The 21,592-nt window shown below is 36.1% G+C and overlaps 1 protein-coding gene and 1 long non-coding RNA gene across 25 annotated transcripts in view, besides 1 other annotated feature; one reads left to right on the top strand and one right to left on the bottom strand.

Annotated features, from left to right (window-relative positions):
• Window positions 1-21,592, bottom strand: part of GPHN (gephyrin) — a 1,227,209-nt gene that overhangs the window by 630,646 nt on the left and 574,971 nt on the right. For 22 of the 23 annotated variants that reach the window (XM_011536340.4, XM_017020913.3, XM_011536343.4 and 19 more), the window contains 2 exons: window positions 15,635-15,727; window positions 3,799-3,854 (listed from right to left, as the gene is read on the bottom strand). The exons of the other annotated variant lie outside the window; for it this stretch is intronic. In XM_011536340.4, the coding sequence (XP_011534642.1) occupies window positions 3,799-3,854; window positions 15,635-15,727 (149 nt within the window). The remainder of the gene's footprint in view (window positions 1-3,798; window positions 3,855-15,634; window positions 15,728-21,592) is intronic. 23 annotated transcript variants of the gene reach the window in all.
• Window positions 1-21,592, top strand: part of LOC105370538 (uncharacterized) — a 116,677-nt gene that overhangs the window by 84,655 nt on the left and 10,430 nt on the right. Inside the window, exon 4 of one of the 2 annotated variants that reach the window (XR_007064215.1) lies at window positions 4,353-4,452. This is a non-coding gene — a long non-coding RNA (uncharacterized LOC105370538). Of the gene's footprint in view, window positions 1-4,352; window positions 4,595-21,592 lie in introns of those variants that run through there. The other variant, XR_001750990.2, reaches the window with a different exon arrangement.
• Window positions 12,955-13,124: an enhancer, noted in NCBI's record as "experimental_36142 CRE fragment used in MPRA reporter constructs". NCBI's record gives its function as "activates a minimal promoter by MPRAs in K562 erythroleukemia cells, with activity observed for both the introgressed and non-introgressed 14:67558388 variant alleles {active_cell/tissue: K562}" and the evidence as "EXISTENCE:reporter gene assay evidence [ECO:0000049][PMID:34662402]".

Below are 21,592 nucleotides of genomic sequence, written 5' to 3'. Positions count from 1 at the left end.
AAAGGAGGCATTACAACTGATACTACAGAAATACAAAGGGTCATTAGAGACTACTATGAAGAACTACATGCCAAAAAATTAGAAAACCTAGCAGAAGTGAGTAAATTCCTCAATACATACAATCTACCAAGCTTGAGCCAAAAAGAATAGAAAACCTGAACAGATCAATCATGAGTAATGAGACTGAATCTGTAATAAAGTCTCCCACTGAAGAAAAGCCCAAGATCTGATGACTTCACTGCTTAATCCTACCAAACATTTAAAGAAGAACTCATACTAATTCTTCTCAAACTCTTCTGGAAAACTGAAGAGGAAGGAATTCTTCCAAACTCAATCTATGAGGTCAGCATTATTCTGCTACTCAAACCATAAAAGGATACAACACAAAAAAGGAAAACTATAGGCCAATATCCTTGGTGCAAAAATGCTTAATAAAACACTTGCAACTGAATCCAGCAGCACGTTAAAAAGATCATTTACCATGATCAAGTGGGATTTACTGTGGGGATGCAAGGGTGGCTCAACATATGCCCATCAATAAATGTGATACATCACACCAACAGAATGAAGGACAAAAACCATATGATCATCTCAACAGACTTAGGAAAACATCTGATAAAATTCAACAATCCTTCATGGTTAAAACTCTCAACAACTTAGGTATAGAAAGAATGAGTGTACACAGTGAAGGCCCTAGATGACAAACCCACAGCCAACATCATACTGAATGTGGAAGAGTTGAAAGCTTTTCCTCTGAGATCTGGACCAAGACAAGGATGCCCACTTTCAACACTTTTATTCAACCTAGTACTGGAAGTCCCAGCCAGAACAATTAGGCAAGAGAAAGAAATAAAGGGTATCCAAAGGGGAAAAGAGGAAGTCAGATTGTCCCTGTTTGCAGATAACATGATCTTATATATAGAAAACCCTAAAAGCTCCACCAAAAACTCTTACAACTGATAAATATAGTACAGCTGCAGGATACATAATCAACACACAAAAATGAATAGCATTTCTACACACCAAGAACAAACTAGCAGAGAAAGAAAATGAGAAAGCAATCCCATGTATAATAACTACAAAAAAAATTTAGGAATAAATTTAGCCAAAGAGGTAAAAAATCTGTATAAGGAAAACTATAAAATACTGATGAAAAAGACTGAAGAGGCCACAAAAAAAAAAAAAAAAAAAAAAAAAAGAGAAAGAAACAGCATCCCATGTCGTTGGGTTGGAAGAATTAATACTGTGAAAATGACCATACTACGAAAAAAGCGATCTACAGATTCATTGCAATTCCTATAAAAATACCAATGACAATCTTCACAGAAATAGAAAATCCTACAATTTGTATGAAACCACAAGAGACTCCAAATAGCCAAAGCTATCCTGAATAAAAAGAAGAAAACTGGAGGCTTCCCACTGTCAGAAATCAAAATATACTACAAAGCTATAGTAACTGAAATAGCATGGTTTGGACAGCAAAACAGATACATTGACCAATGGATCAGAATAGAGAACCCAGCGTGGTTGGAGCCCCCACACAGAGTCCATACTGGGGTGAAGGTTGCAGTGAGCTGAGATCATGCTGGGCAACAGAGCAAGACTCTGTCTCAAGAAAAAACCCAGAAACCCAAAACCAAGAACAACCTCCCTCCCCTCAAAAAAACCCAAACAAACAAACAAACAAGACAAGTCATTTATAAAAAAGAATCAAGCCTAGCTGTTCTTTTTGTCAGAAAAATGGTCATGGTAATGAAATCCAGCTTGGTGCAGTATGGATGAGAATATGTATCACTATAGTGCCAACTTAGCTTCAGAGAGTTGCATGCGAATCTCCTCAATTTTTGGATGCTAAAATGAAGAAGCTAGTGTCAACACCATTGGCATCATCCTTCTCCTATATATCTCAACTCGTTTCTAGTGTTAGTCCATGCTAAGCCAAGGAAGAAAGGCATGGAACATAGCGTTTGCCAAACTGCTGCCTTCATTTTAAAAATTATTATTTATTTATTTCTTGCCACTTTTATTTATTTTTATTTTTATTTTTTTGAGACGGAGTTTTGCTCTTGTTGCCCAGGCTGGAGTGCAGTGGTGAGATTTCGGCTCACTGCAACCTCTGCCTCCCAGGTTCAAGCGATTCTCCTGCCTCAGCCTCCAGAGTAGCTGGGATTACAGCCATGTGCCACCACGCCTGGCTCATTTTGTATTTTCAGTAGAGATGGGCTTTCTCCATGTTGGTTACACTGGTCTTAAACTCCCGAACTCAGGTTATCTGCCCGCCGCGGCCTCCCAAAGTGCTGGGATTACAGGCATGAGCCACCACGCCCGCTGCCACTTTTATTTTTATATATTGCTTGGTAGTAGCAGTTGGGTATTCCATCTCAGGAAGAGGAAACTTTGAAGGGAAGCAGCAGGGAAAGGAAAAAAGTTCTTTGGTTTCCTTCTAGTTCCATTTAATAAGGTAGGAGCTCTGTTGATCAACCTTCGTAACTCACCGGATTGACAGATGCTATTTCCTCTTAAACATAACAATGGCCAGGCCGGGCGCGGTGGCTCACGCTTGTAATCCCAGCACTTTGGAAGGCCGAGGCGGGCGGATCACGAGGTCAGGAGATCGAGACCATCCTGGCTAACATGGTGAAATCCCCTCTCTACTAAAAATACAAAAAAATTAGGCGGGCGTGGTGGCGGGTGCCTGTAGTCCCAGCTGCTGGGGAGGCTGAGGCAGGAGAATGGCGTGAGCCCGGGAGGCGGAGCTTGCAGTGAGCCGAGATCGCGCCACTGCACTCCAGCCTGGGCAACAGAGCAAGACTACGTTTCAAAAATAAATAAATAAATAAATAAATAAATAAATAAATAATACATAAACCAATGATATATGTTATTTTTTTCCTATAAAAATTAAGTAAAACCTTTTGGAAACCTCCATTAAAAATGCTGCTAAAAAGAAATGCTGTAAAATTAGGTGTGAGTGAGGAAACTAAAAGAGTGTAAAATATAATAAAACCCTAAAAGGATTCTGCTCTTCTATGTATTGCAAGTATCCTTCAGTTTTTTTCTACTTTGAAGAAATCAAAATGGAAATCAGAGACATTGCCTTTTGTGTGGTTTACGTAAGAAAGACCTGATAGAAATTAAAACAGCATACTTATTTAAAAGGAAGACCTTGGTTCTTCATCAAATTATTGACTAATAAATATTTAAGTTAAATTTATATTTATTTTAAATATATAAAATAATTTCCCACTTTAACTGATTTTTCAATTAAGTGGCCAATTACTGGTCTCAAAGTGTCAAATGGACTTGTATTTCCAATGTGGCCTATTATTGCTTCATTTCTTAATAAAAATATATGTAAACCTGTTCCCTGGCTAGATCCCAAGTGAGAAAAATTAAATTAAATAATTAGCTAAAAAGTTTAAATAATCTACTTCTAAGTTTCCCCATTTGTAACACAAGTTGGGGAAAAGTCTGAGAAGACTACCTAGAAATTGTTCTATTCAGAACATTTTTTTTTTCAGGAAAAAAAGAATCACCCAATCACAGGTCTGGAAAATGCTTGTAAGGCATGTCTGTGAGACATACTAATAATACTATGACATATATTAATAGATGTAGATACTTTCAATTAAGAAATAATTCTTTTGGTTCTCCTGGGAACTATACTTTCATCCCTTTGATAATCTTCTGACTAATCTCTCTCTAATTTCCACTAAACTGATAGGAGAAATTTAGAATTAGATGCCCAAAGTCCATGAAGCTGAAATCTTCAGTGCCTTTCAGGCCTATCAATCTCACCTGTTCACCAGCTTGGGATTCCCCAATGATGAAACGATCTCCTGGGCCATCAGCAGCTGTGAGATGGAACAGAGCCAAGAACAAACATCAGTATGGACCTACAGCATGGAACAAGAACCTAAAATTGGAATTCTAAAATTTGACTCAAATTATTTGATAAGGCTTAGAGAAGTGGAATATTTTTCTGATCTCCTAGACTTGACAATGGCTTTGTTACGACTGATTTAATGTTTGGTATCCGCAACTCACATGCACTGATAGAAGTGGTCCTAATTGTACCACTGGTGCCTAATTGTGCCATGGTGTCACTGGAGGTGGTCTTCCTGTCACCTCGTAATTTCCACACTTGTGCTTTTCTAATAAGTTATTCTAGCCAATCTTCCTAAATAAATGCCACCTTATCCATGTGTATGTATGTGTGATGTGTGTGTGTACACTCATGGACATATATATATATATAAATGGATTTATCACTATTTGTATACATATCCATATGTCTCCATTTTTCTATAACATTTTAACAACTTCATACTGTTTTCTTATTTGTCTCCCAGTCTGGGCTTCCTGATGTGAAATAGGAAGAACATTCCTTTCTTCATTTGACAGCTGAAGGAAATGAATTATAGAATGAAAGAATTCAGGTGGAAAGAAAAGGTAAAGTACTCTGAACAATTTCTGGTTAATGGTAGAGCTAGGACTAAAATCCAGTCTTGTAATTGTAGCACAGTTTTTTAAAATAATGTATCAAAATTCTATTTATGAGTTAGAATACATAGGCAGTACTGCATCACATTTTCCATTGGCTATTTATTTTTAAATTGAAAAAAAAAATTCCATAATTGGGATAAAAAATTTATTAAAAAATATGTACAGTATAACAATGGCTAGATGAAGAAACATTCTTGGAGATTCAAAGAGTTTTCTTGACATATGATGTGGCTTTCAGACCAATACGACTGGGCAAAAGTGCCTATCTAGTAAGTTTTAAAATCATGACCATTACCTTCATGTTATCTGCAAACAGCAGAGTTTTGGGAGCATATCTACAAAAAATATATACATTATATATGAATATTTAGATTACATTTATAATCATACTAATAATGATATTTTCTCTTTTTAAAAGGACATTAGATTAATTGCTCGTTTATGTAGCTATAAAGTGTTATTTTTTTCTAAAGGCTTATATAAAACACCGTTTATAATGAAGTCATCCCTTTTTTGCATAAATGGCTTTGGTTAGCCTGATGTGAAGAGGGACAAAAATTAACACTGGGTCCCTTCTGTCACAGGATGTTGTATTTTATGCTTTACAGATATTATCTCAGTTAATAAACTCTTGCCTTTCTTGTGTTTTTTTTTTTGAATCCTGTTACATTGTTCAGTTTTTACTTGTAAAAAGTATTATAGAAGAGTTTTATTGTAATGTTATTTTATTAAGCCATTTTCATGGGTTATTTTTTTTTTAAAGTTTAAGAAGTTTTTACAACAGGCTGGGTGTGGTGGCTCACACCTGTCATCCCAGCACTTTGGGAGGCCCGGGCGGGCAGATACCTGAGGTCGGGAGTTCAAGACCAGCCTGACCAACATGGAGAAACCTCGTCTCTACTAAAAATACAAAATAAAATACAAAAATTAGCCGGGCATGGTGGCACATGCCTGTAATCCCGGCTACTCGGGAGGCTGAGGCAGGAGAATTGCTTGAACCTGCGAGGCGGGGGTTGTGGTGAGCTGAGATCGTGCCATTGCACTCCAGCCTGGGCAACAAGAGTGAAACTCCGTCTCAAAAAAAAAAAAAAAAGTTTTTACAACAGACATAGACGTCATTGCTTCAACAATTATCAACATTTTACCAATCTTGTTTCATCTATCCCCCCACTTATTTTTGCCATCTTTCAGAGCAAATGATAATTTTCTTACTGTAGAAAATTAAAACATCAATTATCTTTCAGAGTTCCACACCAACTGCATCTCAAACGTGAATAAACTTATTTAAAATTGTTTCTCTACTAGATAAATAATTATCAGCTTGCTACCTCCTATAGCAACCTAGGTATTTTCTCTCTCTCTTTTTCTTTTTTTTTTTTTTGAGATGGAGTTTCGCTCTTGCTGCTCAGGCTGGAGTGCAATGGCACAATCTCAGCTCACTGCAACCTCTGCCTCCCGCGTTCAAGCCATTCTCCTGTCTCAGCCTCCTGAGTAGCTGGGATTACAGGCGTATGCCACCATGCCCGGCTAATTTTTGTATTTTATTTTATTTTTTTAGTAGAGACGGGGTTTCATCATATTGGTCAGGCTGGTGTCAAACTCCTGACCTCAGGTGATCCGCCTGCCTCGGCCTCCCAAAATGCTGGGGTTACAGGCATAAGCCACCGCGCCTGACCCATTTTCTTTTTTTTTACTTCCTGCACAAGGGGGAAATTAGCATTGTTTTAGAGTAAAAAAACCTGAATCTGAATCCTGGTTCTGTTTATTGTTAGCTTCAGGGACTCTCAGCAAAATTACTAAACCTCTCTCACCTTCAGTTTTCTTGTTGGTAAAAATGGGGATAATCACACTTTTAAAACAATACCTTTGAAGCTCTTTATTCCTTTTATTCATTCAGTAAATGTCTACTGAGTGTCTTTTATGCCCCAAGTGTTAAACTAAGGGCTGGAGAGAGAGTAGGGGGTAAACCTAGACGCTGCTTCTATTTTAGTGCAGTGCCAACCTGTTACAAGGTTTGTCTTTTTTTTTTCCAGGTTAGGTTTATCTTTTTTTTTATTATTATTATACTTTAAGTTTTAGGGTACATGTGCACAACGTGCAGGTTTGTTACATATGTATACATGTGCCATGATGGTGTGTGTTACAAGGTTTTTCAAACTCTGGATGACAAATGGAGATAGGCTGTAAAATCAACTTGTGAACAATTTTCTAATGAAAAGGATAAAAATATATTTCAACACACATGGTAAGGATGACTCTTGTTTCATAAAACTTATTTTTGTTTATATACGTGTATGTATGTATATTTATATGTACTGTATATGTTATATATGTGTGTGTATATCATTGGCTTTTGATGTATAATATATTTAATGTATTTCTTCCCATGGGTGTGGTTAAAATAAAACTCTTAAAGCCACTGATGCATCAGGAGAGGCAGATATTAATCAAATAATCACATTAATGAATATATAAATACAAATTAAGAAAACCACTCCAAAGCAAAGAAACATGATTTTATGAGAGTATATAATTAAAGTACCTGAGCTACACTGGAGAGTCATGAAAAGCATGATAAAAGGATTTCTGATTTGAATATGAAGAATGAGTAAGAGCTAAGTAGGGGTGTGTGTGTGCAGGTATGTAGGTGGGGAGAGACAAAGGGAGGGAAATAGGGAGGGAAAGAAGGAGAGGGAGAGAGAGGAAAAGATAGACATGAAGTGGAAGTGCTCCATCATTGTGTGCAAAGAGAACATATGTGCAAAGGCCTTGGTTCATGTCTTCCTTATATCTTATACTCTAGCTATTATCAACTGCTAGTACTATCCCTGAGAATACCAAGATAACTCATATGTTGGCTCCGTGACATGTGCTACTTCCACTACTTAAAGCGTCCTTTTCTTATTCTTGCCTTCTGATTAAAGATTTTTTAGCTGTTAAGACTCAGCTCAAGTGTCATCTTCTCTGTGAAGTCATATCTGACTCCTCTCCCCTCAAGAGTTGCGTGCATCCTCTTTTGTTTCCCCAGTGTAGCCTGAAATCAATTATGGCTTCTAAATATATTTACAGTATTTGCTAATCCCTGGCACTTGCTGTACAATAGGTGTTAAATAAATGTTCAATATGTTAAGTATTCAAAAATGGTTGGCAGACGAATGAATGTGGCTACAAAAACGTTCTTAGAAGATTCATGCACGAATGACCAAATAAGTAATATTTTCTAACACAAAGTTTTATATTTGTTATATATACTTTTTGCTGATCCATATATATTGTTTCCTTCAAAATTTGAGTCAACATCTTAAGAATGTTTAGAAAGACTGCTTTGGCTGGGCAAATCACTTCAGCTCAGGAGTTTGAGACAAAGCTGGGCAACATGGCAAAACCCCACCTCTACAAAAATACAAAAAATAGCCAGGTGTGGTGGTGTGTGCCTGTAGTCTAGCTACTTGGGAGGCTGAGGCACAAAGATGGCTTGAGAACCGGGTGGGGGGTGGGGAGTGGAGGTTTTAGTGAGCTGGGATTGTACCACTACACTCCAGCCAGAGCAACATAGCGAGATCCTGTCTCAAAAAAAAAAAAAAAAAGACTGCTTTGATTAATTCTGTATAACTTAGATTATGTCATTATTCTGTCTAGCATAGTGCCTAAGTCATCGCTGATAATAAATATTTGTTAAAAGAATAAAGAAATGAAGTTGGCATTCTCAAAAAGTTTTTGGTGGGAAGTATTTCTCTTTTCTCCTGTTCCCCCACACATGCACATAAACTCAAAATGCTCATATCAATATTCTGCATAATCCTCTAAATAAACTGAATAATGAGTAGCTGGAGGTCATCTGGGGAGGTCATCTGGGGCAAGCCTAGTATGGAGTTCCAGGGAGGTCCATATGTGAAAGTACTCTGAAGCGATTCTAAGGAGCAAGGTCTTTGTTATCAGGGAAAGTATACCAATTGTGGAGAGAATATGTGCTCACTTGCACTATGTTCTCAACCTTACTCTGAACCTTTCCAGTTGGTAAATGTGTCTCTATATTGCTAGCTAAGGAAGAATCAGTCAAACAACTACATAGAAGTTTCTTGGTACCAAGAGAGGAGTCATTTTTCTTATTTCTCTTATTTCTCAACAGTTAATGTGCATGCAAATCATCTCGAGATCTTGTGAATATACAGATTCTAATTTAGTAGGGCTGGGACAAGGTCTGAGATTCTAAATTCTTTTTTTTTTTTTTTTTTTTGCCTTTTTCTTTTCTTTTTTTTTGTTTTTTTATTATTATTATACTTTAAGTTTTAGGGTACATGTGCACAATGTGCCGGTTAGTTACATATGTATACATGTGCCATGCTGGTGTGCTGCACCCATTAACTTGTCATTTAGCATTAGGTATATCTCCTAATGCTATCCCTCCCTGCTCCCCCCACCCCACAACAGTCCCCAGAGTGTGATGTTCCCCTTCCTGTGTCCATGGGTTCTCACTGTTCAATTCCCATCTATGAGTGAGAACATGCGGTGTTTGGTTTTTTGTCCTTGCGATAGTTTACTGAGAATGATGATTTCCAATTTCATCCATGTCCCTACAAAGGACATGAACTCATCGTTTTTTATGGCTGCATAGTATTCCATGGTGTATATGTGCCACATTTTCTTAATCCAGTCTATCATTGTTGGACATTTGGCTTGGTTCCAAGTCTTTGCTATTGTGAATAGTGCCACAATAAACATACGTGTGCATGTGTCTTTATAGCAGCATGATTTATAGTCCTTTGGGTATATACCCAGTAATGGGATGGCTGGGCCAAATGGTATTTCTAGTTCTAGATCCCTGAGGAATCGCCACACTGACTTCCACAGTGGTTGAACTAGTTTACAGTCCCACCAACAGTGAGATTCTAAATTCTAACAAGCTGATGCTGAGGCTGCTGGTCCATGGATTACCCTTTTTGAGGAGCAGAGCACTATAAGATCAAACTGAATATAGACAAATTCAGACTAAGAGAAAATTTAAGGAATAAAAAAATTAGTGAACTACAGGAGTCCAAATTTTACATTAACACCAAGGTTTGTCTTATGAAGACAGAAAAATAAGTATCAATCTATCTAACTTCCTGATACAGTCATGAGTCACTTAACAATGGGGATATATTCTGAGAAATGCATTGTTAGGCAATTTTGTTGTGTGAACATCATCACAGAGTGTACTAACACAAACCTAGATGGTATAGCCTATTATACAACTAGGCTACATGGTATAGCCTATTGCTCTTGGGTTACAAACTTGTACAGCATGTTACAATACTAAATACTATAGGCAACTGTAACACAATGTTAAGTATTTGTGTATCTAAACATATCTAACCATAGGAAAGGTAATGTGTTGCACTATGTGACCTTACAATGGCTACAATCTCACTTGGCAATAGGAATTTTTCAGCTCCATTGTAATCTCATGGGACCACCATCATGTAAGAGTCTGTTTTTGACTCAAATGCTAATGTGGTGCATGGCTATATTTATTTAAAAATATCTATGAAAGAAACAGGTTTTAAAAAGTTGCAGTTTTTCAAGATGAATTCTACAAGTTTAGGTAGGAGAGGGCAGAAGCGGAGGCATGATAGCACATGAACCTAGAGCTTGGAAAGAAAAAAAGAAAGTAAACCACAGTACGTCATTAGAAAAGATGAATAGATTTGAAGGACTTCTGCAGATTTAGAATTGTTTCCCTTGTAATTCTGACATATCTGCTAATGAATTTCTTTTCTGCTTTGCAACTGTAGAATTTAATTTGAAAGAAGTGATAAAAGCAATATAAACCAAACCCTAATGGCATATGCATTATGTAAACAATTAATGTTTAATGCAAGACCCTGAAGCTGTTCCTTCTTATTCCTCCTTTTTCTAATATCCAGAAAACACTTTTAGTTCTGTTCACCCATTTATTTGAAGATTTCTGGTTATATTATTTGATATGAAATTGATAACACTAGATAACTACTCATTGTGTACACAGAAAACGATGATCTTCAAATCATCTGCCATGGAATTATCCTTCATTTTCATTTTCCAGCCATAGTGATCTTTCTTTAAGTCTCTTGAAATACTGTATAGCTAGTCATTTATTTTCAATACTAAAGAGTCTCATCATTTCCACTTTAAGGCTGAACAAATTAGAGCACATAGAGATGGCATAACTTTCAGAGGTCCTAGGAAATAGTTGATAGAGAAATAAGGCAGAAGGAATAGTAATTTGTCTGCTCTGCTTATAGAACTACACTGTCTGAGACTGCAAGAAGGGCACAGGGTAATAGTATTTATATGCATACTAAAGTTAAGATTATAGGAGGGGTTGGTAGGGAAAGGTAACAAGAGAAGGTGACAAAGCTGGAATAAGAGGATTCATACTTGCTGCAATTACACTCAAGTATTACATTAGGTAAATTGTTTGGAATTTTAAACTGGCTACCTTTTCCTATGGAACGCAGGGAGGTGGGCATAGGATACATGAGTAAGAAGGCATCGTGTATTCTTTACCATTATCTTCCAGGGAAAATGCCTATTAATTGTTAGTATTGGGAAAGAAGGCATTATTTTCAGAAATATTTTCTTTTTGGAATTAACTAAACTAAATTATTCCAAATTATTTATCTATTCACATGAGTATTACTCCCATATCATAAGGCCCTCTTTTTCACTGAAAGTATCCTATAGTAGAGGGCAAAATAGGCTGTCAAATGAATTGCAGAACCAGTTGTAGCGAAAGAGGATTCAAATGGATACAACAAAAGCCCTGAAATATGATTACTGTTGAAAGAATAAGAACTAGGTCTAAGTCACAATGGCTGTGGATTGTCTATATTGAATTTTGGTGTATTCTAACCCACTGTATGTGAGGTAAATGCACAAAATGCTAATAGTGGCCAGGGGGTAAGTTAATGGGTAATTTTAAAATGTTCTTTTTCATTATTTTTGCATTTTTCATAAGTAATTTCAATCAGAATGTAAACAAGAAAAAAAAATTTTTAAATTCTCTCTACCCAAATGGCAAAACTTTCTCTTAATATATCTTTTCAGAACTGTATGTTACCTATGACTCTGAAAATAATTCCTGGTTTGTTCAAAATATTCCTTTTTTCCAAATGATCCCAAAATAAGCTCTGAAGGGATAAACCTTTCAAATTGAACTTTTTCAAGAAAGCTGAACTTGGAGTTCTAACATATTTTTGCCCTTATTAATATCCACAAAGAAAGTGTGATAAAATAGTCACCTACATCTATATAGGAGGATGTGAATGCATCAAGAGGATGATTAGCTTCATCAGTGTGAAGGGAGAAACAAAATCGAAAAATGTGAAGAATAAAAATACTGTATTGATTCAAATTGTAAATATGCCACTTTCATTTTTATTTTATCTACTTTTATCTTTCAAATTCACTCCCACGTGAATGCAGTTTTAGGTTTACAGGTCTTCCTATTATTTTATATTATCATTACTTTATTCCTGCCTTCTTTACATTCTATTCTTTCTTAATGTTTTATTTTGAGCTGTTTCTACTTATTTCCTTAGTCATTTTATTACTGTCTTGATTTTTGAACTCACATACCTTAAAGCAAGTGATCCTCCAACTGGTTTGGAGTTTTATCCCACATGTTTCTGAAGGATACTGGCTAATGCTTAGTGATCCAGAGCAAGTTAGCAACATCTTTACACCTAGAGGGTTAGCAATGCCCACGAGTGCCACTGGTTATTACTGGAAGGCCTAAGGTAAAGGCAGAGGAGAAGAAAATAGGGAGAATCAAGGGAGCAGGGAGAAAGGAACCAGAGTAAAGGAAGACAGGGGTAGAGAGAAGGAGGTACTCAAAGGAGGGTCTTAGCCACAATAATTGGCCTCAAGGATATTCTTTACCAAAACACTGCCTGGGGGTGGTATTTATAACAGAAAAGAGGCTAATGAATACATTTACCTTTAAAGAAATGAAAATCATCTTTATTACTAAATACAGTAAAAATCACTTTTAGGATTCATAGAGTTTATCTTCCTGAATTACAGACAAAAAAGTGAGGAGGTATAAACTGGAAAATTCAGCATAGTTCTAAGACCATGCCACTTGTCTACAGAAGACTTTTGCTTCTTTAATTATGATGTTCATATTGTATACACAGACATACTAACCATTCCTACTTTGAGATTTAACCATTTATGCAATGATTATCACTTATGTCGCTCTTATATGTTACATATCTTGGAGAAGTACCAACCCTTTGCAAGAAAGAAACAATGTGAATCAGCTTCACGGTAGATAATCTCTTGGACTGTTTATAATGTGAGATACCATTTTAGATTTTTTTTGGTGAAATAACAAAAAAAAAAACCTCTCAAACAAAAGCATAAATAGGATACTAAATGGTAATTTTACATAAAAATTTTTTGATGAGTTGTACAGTGTCAGAAAAGCTCATAAGGGCTAATGGCTCCCTTTGGCAACAAGAAAAGCTAACAGCAACCATTTTTTTTTTTAATTGAGCTGCTGCTAGCTCATGTAAAAATCACAGAACAATATTCTGTTTGGGAATAATTCTGCCTCAAATAATTTATTTTCTCACTCTCTCCCACATTATGTTACAAAGACTATAAAAAACAGACTTCTTTGTCTCTGGTGTTTCATCTACTGTAGCTGTTTGCTCTACTCTGGAAGTAAGAATTCTTTGTCATTTTATAGTAATCCTGTATGGCTACAAATTGTAAGATCAACACAGAATTTACTTTTTAGATGGGCAATAAGAAACTATTTCAAGCCAACAATGACATTGGGAAAAAAAAAAGAAACTAGAAGAGCCAGTGAAGCTATCACAAGAATAAAATAATTTTCTGTCTGGATAATATTTATTCTAATCAACACTGTAGAAGGAATCAATTTGAAAGAAAAAAACATAGGAGCCATTGGGAATTTGGTATTTAAGTTTTGGCTTTGCCAATTTCAGAAGTATTCTAATCTAGTGAGATCAAGCTGAATGAAGTGAATCCAAGATAATCTTCCTGAGAAAGAATACATTAGTGGAAATGAAAAAACATAAGCTCAATCTCTCTACCATTTTATTTACACAGAAAATGAGAGTAGCAATTCAAATGTTAGCCATTTTTCAGAGATAGTTTAAGAAAATGTATTTATAATATGATAATAATGGTTACTATCATTAAATATTTTAAAAAACAATTATCAAGTGTTTTTTTTTTTAAATGTGTGCCAGGTAGTTTACTAAGGCTTTCTACAACTAATTAATTTCTACAATTAATTTTTAATATAATTCTTACAACAACCTGCTGGGGTAAGTATTGTTGTAATTATCATAATTTTAGAGATAAGAAAACTGAAGCTAAAAAATTTAAGTGAGCTGCTCAAAGTTACACAGATGGAACTGGTACTAAAACCCAGATCACTTGAGCTTTGCTCAATGCCTGTAGCCTTAATCATTTGCTATGCTATCTCCAACATAAAAAGATAACTACTAAGAGATGATGGAATACAGAGGAGATTAATGAAGTATTTAATTACAGGAAAAAGGAAATTACAGGTTGACCATCCTTTATATGAAATGCTTGGGACCAGAAGTATTTTGGATTTTGATGTTTTTCAGATTTTGGAATATCTGCATATACATAATGAGATATCTTGTGGATGGGACCCAAGTCTAAACACAAAATTAATTTATGTTTCATATATATCCTATACACATAGCCAAAAGGTAGGTAATTTTAAACAATGTTTCAAATAATTTTTCTAAACAAAGTTTTGAGTGTGTTTTTATGGTGACCCTTCACATGAGGTCAGGTATCAAATTTTCTTCTTGTGGTGCCATGTCAACACGCAAAAAATTTCAGATTTTGGAGTACTTCAAATTCTGGATTTTTGAATTAGGGATGCCCAACCTGTATTTTCATGGCTAAATGTAGCTAAAAAAACCAAAACCAAAACCAAGTAAGAGACTCCATAACTCCATATCTCATGTACCCCATTAAAAAGGAATTGGCATGCTTAACAGCTCTGATAAACTGAAAAACTTTTTAAACATGTTTCTTCAATGATATCAACCTTGAATTAATAACCAATAACATAATAACAATGTATCATAGTTTGAAAATCACTAAGAGAGTAGATTTTAAGTCTCACTACAAAAATGATAAGTATGTGAGGTAATGCATGTGTTAATTAGCTCAACTAAGCCATTCTACAATGTGTACTACATATTTTAAAATATCATGTTGTACATGGAAAAACAAAAACAAAACCAAAAAAATCAACAACAGTTTCTAAGCAATTCAGAATTTACATTTGGGGTTCTTAGATTGGAATTTAGGCAGAAAAATGCTATTTAGTATTTGCTTTTAAGCTTTATGCAATCTCAGGCAACTTTGTGTGAGCTGCTGGGGCGCCAGAATTTTGAAATATGATGTCTTCTAGAGAATTAGAGGTTTCCCTCATGTCCGCTTTTCATGAAGCCCTTTACTGATGTTTGAGTTGAAAGCAGAACAGACCACCTCAACTTTATCCTTGTGTTGGGAATCTGCTCTTTTTTCTTAGACCATCAGATGTTTTCAACTAGAAAACATCTGGAAAACTTTCACACTAAGAATGTATGCTGTCTGGCATGTGTAGGAACGGAAAGAATAAATTGAAGTACAGTGTTTTAATTTTATTCCTATATATTTATTTGTAGCCAAGAATTTCAGTAACACAAAGGATAAACACTTGATGTGACAGATACCACATTTACCCTGATGTGATTATTATGCATTGTATGCCTGTATCTAAATATCTCATGTACCCCATAAATATGTATACCTACCATGTATCCACAAATATTAAAAATAAAAAATTTAAAACGAGAATTTTCATGTAACTTTTCTTTACCTCAAAAGTTTTAATCAAGATTGTGCCAGAAAATTTACAGGTGCAGATTAACATGGTTATCTGTGAATGAAGTTATTTTGACAGTCATGGGGAAACAAACCTAACAGTTGCTGGGTGCTTGGGCTAAGCCAAAAATTTGAAAAAAAAAAAAAAAAAAAAAAAAAGAAAAAAAGAAAAAAAAATACAGTGCCTGATTATGTTTAAGAAAACCAAAATATTTACCTCGGACAGCATAGCCATCTTTTACTGATGCTGGGAAGGGGGGTAAATTGTCTTTTGCATATACATCTTGAGCAAGGACTCGCCCCATTCCATCTGAAGGAAGAGAAAAGAAGGAAAATGTAAATATGGAGAGCAATGGGTAAGCAGGCAGTCATAAACAAGATGGGCATGAGTGCTTGTCTGACACAGCTTGTAAATGGGCTCAGTCAGAACTCCTGATTTCTGTCCCAAGAAACAGGAGATAGAAGAGATGCATTCTGGTGCCTGAAATAAAAGATTATACTCAGTCAATTCATGGCAATGTTTGCAGAGATTATCTGAATATGAGGTGCTATACAGTAATCAAAGATGTGCTCAGTTGATGTGTCAGTAATCCTTTAACAACCCAAATATGATTTTCTTTAAAAGGAAAGCCAACTTTAAACGTTTTCATACCCATTGACCTAGTAGTTTCACTTCTAGAAATCTATCGTAGGAAAATGGATAAATGTTTCTGTATATGTTTATTTCACAGTTGCTTACAATAGAAAAAATGGAAAGAAACCAAACTATCAACAATATAGGTACTTAAATAAGAAATGATAGATTCTTAAGGTAAAATATTATGGAGGCTAAAGTAATATTTATGAAGAATATTCATTGACATAGGAAAATTCCTATGATACATATTTTTACAACATGCAAAGTCAAATCTGCAGCATATAGTCTTAACTGTATTAAGATATATGTGTATATATCAGTAGAAAAGGAAAGAACATACATGAAAATATAAAGCATTTATTACTTCAGAATGTTAGATTTATGTTTTTTATTCCCTTTGCTCTACTTTTCCCAAAATTTCCACGTTTTCTACAATGAATGCATCATTTTTTAATCCTAAAGTTGTTTTTTTCTTAAGAAGAGAAAGCTTAAAAAAAAAGGAAGGAATATCCCAGTCATTCCATTTGAGTTTTAGCCTTTGATTTTGGCTTCATTAATTGAAATAATTTAGTGCCTATAAGAAGAGCACTAGTAACCTTTTGTGTGAAGTAAGTATTCAGACTACTCTGGATGAAAATCACTTTTGGCTCAGAAATTTGAACTAGTGCCAATAAGAATAAAAGTTTCAGGAGTCATAACCAATTCCTGAAATCCTCTAGTCAGAAACTGTCTTTATTGCTAATTTAAAAAAAGGAAAGCAAAAATAAATGAGGTTAAAAAAAGAGGAAGAGGAAGGAAGAAAAGAAACCAAGACAAGTAATATAGGACTTGATTTACATGAAGTATTTGTATAATTTATAAAATTTCATTGTTTCCGGAGCTGGATAAGTGAGTCTGTGTTTTTTATCTTTGACCTTCTTAGCCACCTAGGGTCTCTGATTTCCAGATCCTAGGACCTAGAAGTAAGTGTAGAGAGATTTTTAAATTTATATTCGGACCATCTGATGTTCAAATTTCTATTCTGAATATCACTATATCCTATAGTGATATTGACTCTTCCCTTTTGGCACCTGAATTGGAAGGGAGAACTTAGCAGATTCTACCTTCAGATACTCCTAGGATGTTGAAGCTATTCTGGAGCTATACTGGAGGTTTGGGCCATACTATGTCAGACAAGCAAAGTGGTGGGACCATAGGGTCTAGTTTGTATTCACATATATAACATTAACTCTCACATGAACCTGAAGCTATATAGTCCCTAGCAGTGGGCCCAGTGGTGCTTGTCCAGGATCACAGTAAACCTCATGGGATGGTTCCTTATCTGGAAGTAGTTTGTCCTGGCACTGGGGGGTGTAGATCAAAATGTAAGCTATACATCAGCTCAGAATCTACATGAATGACTTTGCTGGGATTTTGAATAGTGCACTAATAGTGGTTAATTATCAGAGATAGCACAAGGGCTGAGTTTTTCTGGTGGCTAGCCCCAATGATACAGTAAATGTTTATTAACACTGTATGAATCACATATATAATCTCACTTAATCCCATGAAAATCTAGTAGAGCACTGTTATGTTCATTTTACAGGTGAAGGAAGAGAGTTTTTTTTTTTTTTTTTTTGAGACAGAGTCTTGCTCTGTCGCCCAGGTTGGAGTGCAGTGGTGGGATCTCGGCTCACTGCAAGCTCCGCCTTCTGGGTTCACGCCATTCTCCTGCCTCAGCCTCCCGAGTAGCTGGGACTACAGGCGCCCGCCACCACACCTGGCTAATTTTTTGTATTTTTAGTAGAGATGGGGTTTCACCGTGTTATCCAGGATGGTCTCGATCTCCTGACCTCATGATCCGCCCACCTTGGCCTCCCAAAATGCTGAGATTACAGGCGTGAGCCACGCGCCTGGCCGGAAGAGACGTTTAAATACAGTAAGTACTTACCCACAGCAATATATTTCATAGGTGGCTAAAGTAAGATGGAAAAACTAGATTTTAGAACTTTTTTTTTTTTTTTTTTGAGACAGAGTCTCGCTGTCGCCCAGGCTGGAGTGCAGTGGCGCAATCTCGGCTCACTGCAGGCTCCGCCCCCTGGGGTTCACGCCATTCTCCTGCCTTAGCCTCCCGAGTAGCTGGGACTACAGGCGCCCGCCACCTCGCCCGGCTAATTTTTTGTATTTTTAGTAGAGACGGGGTTTCACCGTGTTAGCCAGGATGGTCTCGATCTCCTGACCTCGTGATCTGCCCGCCTCGGCCTTCCAAAGTGCTGGGATTACAGGCGTGAGCCACCGCGCCCGACCAGAACTTTTCAGCCATACTACCACCATAGTAATAACTACTACCACTCATGTTCCCTCTACCCACTGCTCTTCCTTTATATCTCTCACATTTAAAAAGTTGCAAGTTAAAAAATTAAACATAATTACCATATAAACCAGCAATTCCATTTCCAGGTATACATCCAAAACATTAAAAGCTGGGAATTGAACACGTATCTGTACACCCATATTCACAACATTATCCACAATAATCAATGGTGGAAGCAACTCAAGTATCCATTGACAGATGAATGGATAAGCAAAGTATGGTATATACATACAGAAATATTATTTAGCCTTAAAAAGGAAGGAAATTCTGACTATGCTACAACATGGATGAATCTTGAGGACATTCTGCTAAGTGAAATAAGCTGACCATAAAAAGACAAATATTTTATGATTCCACTTACATGAGGTACATAGAGTAGTCAAATCACAGAGATAGAAAGTAGAATGGTGGTGGCAGGTGCTGGGATGAGGAGGGAAAGAAGAGTTAGTGTTTAATGGGTATAGAGTTTCAGTTTGGGAAGACCAAAAAGTTCTAGACATGGCTGGTGGTGATGGTTACAGAACAATGTGAATGTACTTAATGCTATTGAACCATACACTTAAAAATGGTTAAAATAGTTAAGTTTTATGTTATGTATATGTTATCACTACATACACCATCATCAACAACAAAAAACTACAAATCTGTTTGCCATAAGAATCAACAGTTAGTATAGTCACTTTTACACCCTAAGTTCTTGCCAGTAGCCCCAAAGAAACAGGCTCAGCATGGCTCTCTTTCTTCCTATATTCTAAGACAGGGGCTTTATATTTAATATGCTAAGTTTGAAAGACAGTTGATACTGACAGCTGTATTATAGATCTCACAGTGTCTTGAAATGCACATGAATGAATTATTTGACCACTCTGAGGAGAGAAATAATGATTATCTTCTGCTTTTGCAAGATTTAGATACGTGGAAGTAGAAGAAAGTGGAGTAAGGTCTCACTGACAATTTGGATAAAAGAATATCAGCTCACTTGATTTCTGTCTTGAATGCCTGAGTTGTTCATATATCTTATTGTGCAATTCCATTCTGGAAGGTTCCTATGGTATAGAATCTACTCAATAATAATTTGATAACATTTGATTCTGGAATCTAAAAACTTTGTTCTGGTAGTTTGCAATAATATTTACTCCCCATTCTAACATACACATAAATACTAAAAAATAACCCTCAAGTTTCTGAGGAGGCTCAAATGAGAAAAATGTATGTATGACAAGGAATAATGTAGTTATTTAAATGCTACAACCCACCAAAACTTTAGTAGGCTAAAAATTAATAAACATATCCTATTATAATAATTCTGCAGTGCTAGTTTAAGAATCGTTTAGCACAATGTGGGAAATATTTACACTGCGATTGACCTTTATTTCTGACAAATGTCCAGTTTCTGATACAAAGTATGATTTGTCACATCTTAAACATTCTGGGCTTTTTCTAGTCTGTGCTTTTGCAGATCATGTTGCATTGGACAGGAAGGCCTTTTTTCTTTCCTTTTTCTCCTCCTAGTAAGTATCATGCATTCTTCAAGGTTCAGCTCAGATGTTACCTCTTTGATCTTCTGTCTCTTACCAAGGCCAACAAGTTCACTGACTGATTTGCTCATCCATTCATCAAACACTGGGAACATAATATATGCTAGACACTGGAGACAAAAATACCCGTAGGGCCTGGCTGATGTCCTCAAGGAATTCACAAGCACAGTGCATGAGAGAAAGAGAAAGACAGAGAAATAGAGATGATTACAAGATAGTATGACATAGACAGTGGCAGGAAAATGTACAGGGTGATATGGGAGACATACAGAAAATCACCTAACCAAAAACTTGTGGAACATCTAGAAAATCTTCCTAGAAGAGATAAACACCTGAGCTGAGTTTTAAAGAGTAACTCAAAACCAGGTAGGAGAGGGGGGCGTTTTAGACAAATGAAACAGGATCAAGGGAGTTTAAACCTAATTTTGTAAAAATGGGAATCCAATAAGGGATTTTTAAGCAGACTAATGACTTCAAGTTAATTTACTAGCATAATTTAAGTCTCTTGAAAGGTAATGAGATTTGTCTTTTTGGAACTTCTTTGGTGATAAAACAGAGAATTGGTTGGAAGGACTACATTTACTCTTAATATTTGCATAAGATTTGTAACCATCTATTTTTGCACACTTTTCATATTGTATTGTGGCTGTTTGTGAAATTGTCTTGACTTCTGCATCAGGCTTTGAATTCTTTGTTGTCACAGTATATATCATTCATCTTTGTAACCCTAGTATCAAGCACAGTGTTTGGTATGTAAAAGGCACTCAGTCACTGTTTGAATGACTGAGTCAATGAATGAGTGCATTAATGATTATGACTACAAGAAAATATCAGATAAGTAGAGAAAAAGGTCATATCAATCAAATACAACCAGCTTCGATCAAAGAGGATATAAAATAGAGAAGGATATTTTGCTAATCTCTAATCTCATTTCTTTGAAGCTGTACCCCCTCTCTAGCCAAGTCATGTTTCTGTATATACTTGCTCACCTCCATGCATATGGTCAAGGCTTCCCTAAACCCAGACTGTTATTTTCCTTTTTGCTGCCAGTCTACATCCGTTATCTATATCAAGACTTCATTCAAGATAGTAAGTTCTCCTTGATCATTGCCACTCTGAATACTACTCATGTATATATTTTTTGTCAACTATATATTCAATTTGTAATATATCAGTGTATTAGTCTGTTCTTGCACTGCTATAAAGAAATACTGAGACTGGGTAATTTATAAAGATAAGAGGTTTAATTGGCTCACAGTTCTGTAGGCTGTACAAGAAGCATAGTGGCTTTTTTCTTCTGGGGAGGCCTCAGGAAACTTACAATCATGGCAGAAGACAAAGGGAGAGTGGCACCTCACATGGCCAGAGAAGGAGCAAGAGAGAGAGGGGGCAGGTGCCACACACTTTTAAACAACCAGATCTCAAGAGAACTCACTATCATGATGACAGCACAGCTCCAGTAACCTCCCACTAGGCCCCACTTCCAGCACAGCACTGGGAGTTACATTTCAACGTGAGATTTGGAGGGGGGGGGGCATAGATCCAAATACTATCAATCAGTTAGCAACTATTTGCAAAATTGACATGTAAGAGGTCTCACGTTGGTGTGTGTGGTTCCTCAAGCTTTTGAAAGAATTGCAATTTTTA

Source organism: Homo sapiens, chromosome 14, assembly GCF_000001405.40.
Source record: "Homo sapiens chromosome 14, GRCh38.p14 Primary Assembly".
NCBI lineage: Eukaryota > Metazoa > Chordata > Mammalia > Primates > Hominidae > Homo > Homo sapiens.
The sequence above is the reverse complement of the archived record's forward strand: the minus strand, read 5'-3'. Positions and strand labels throughout refer to the sequence as shown.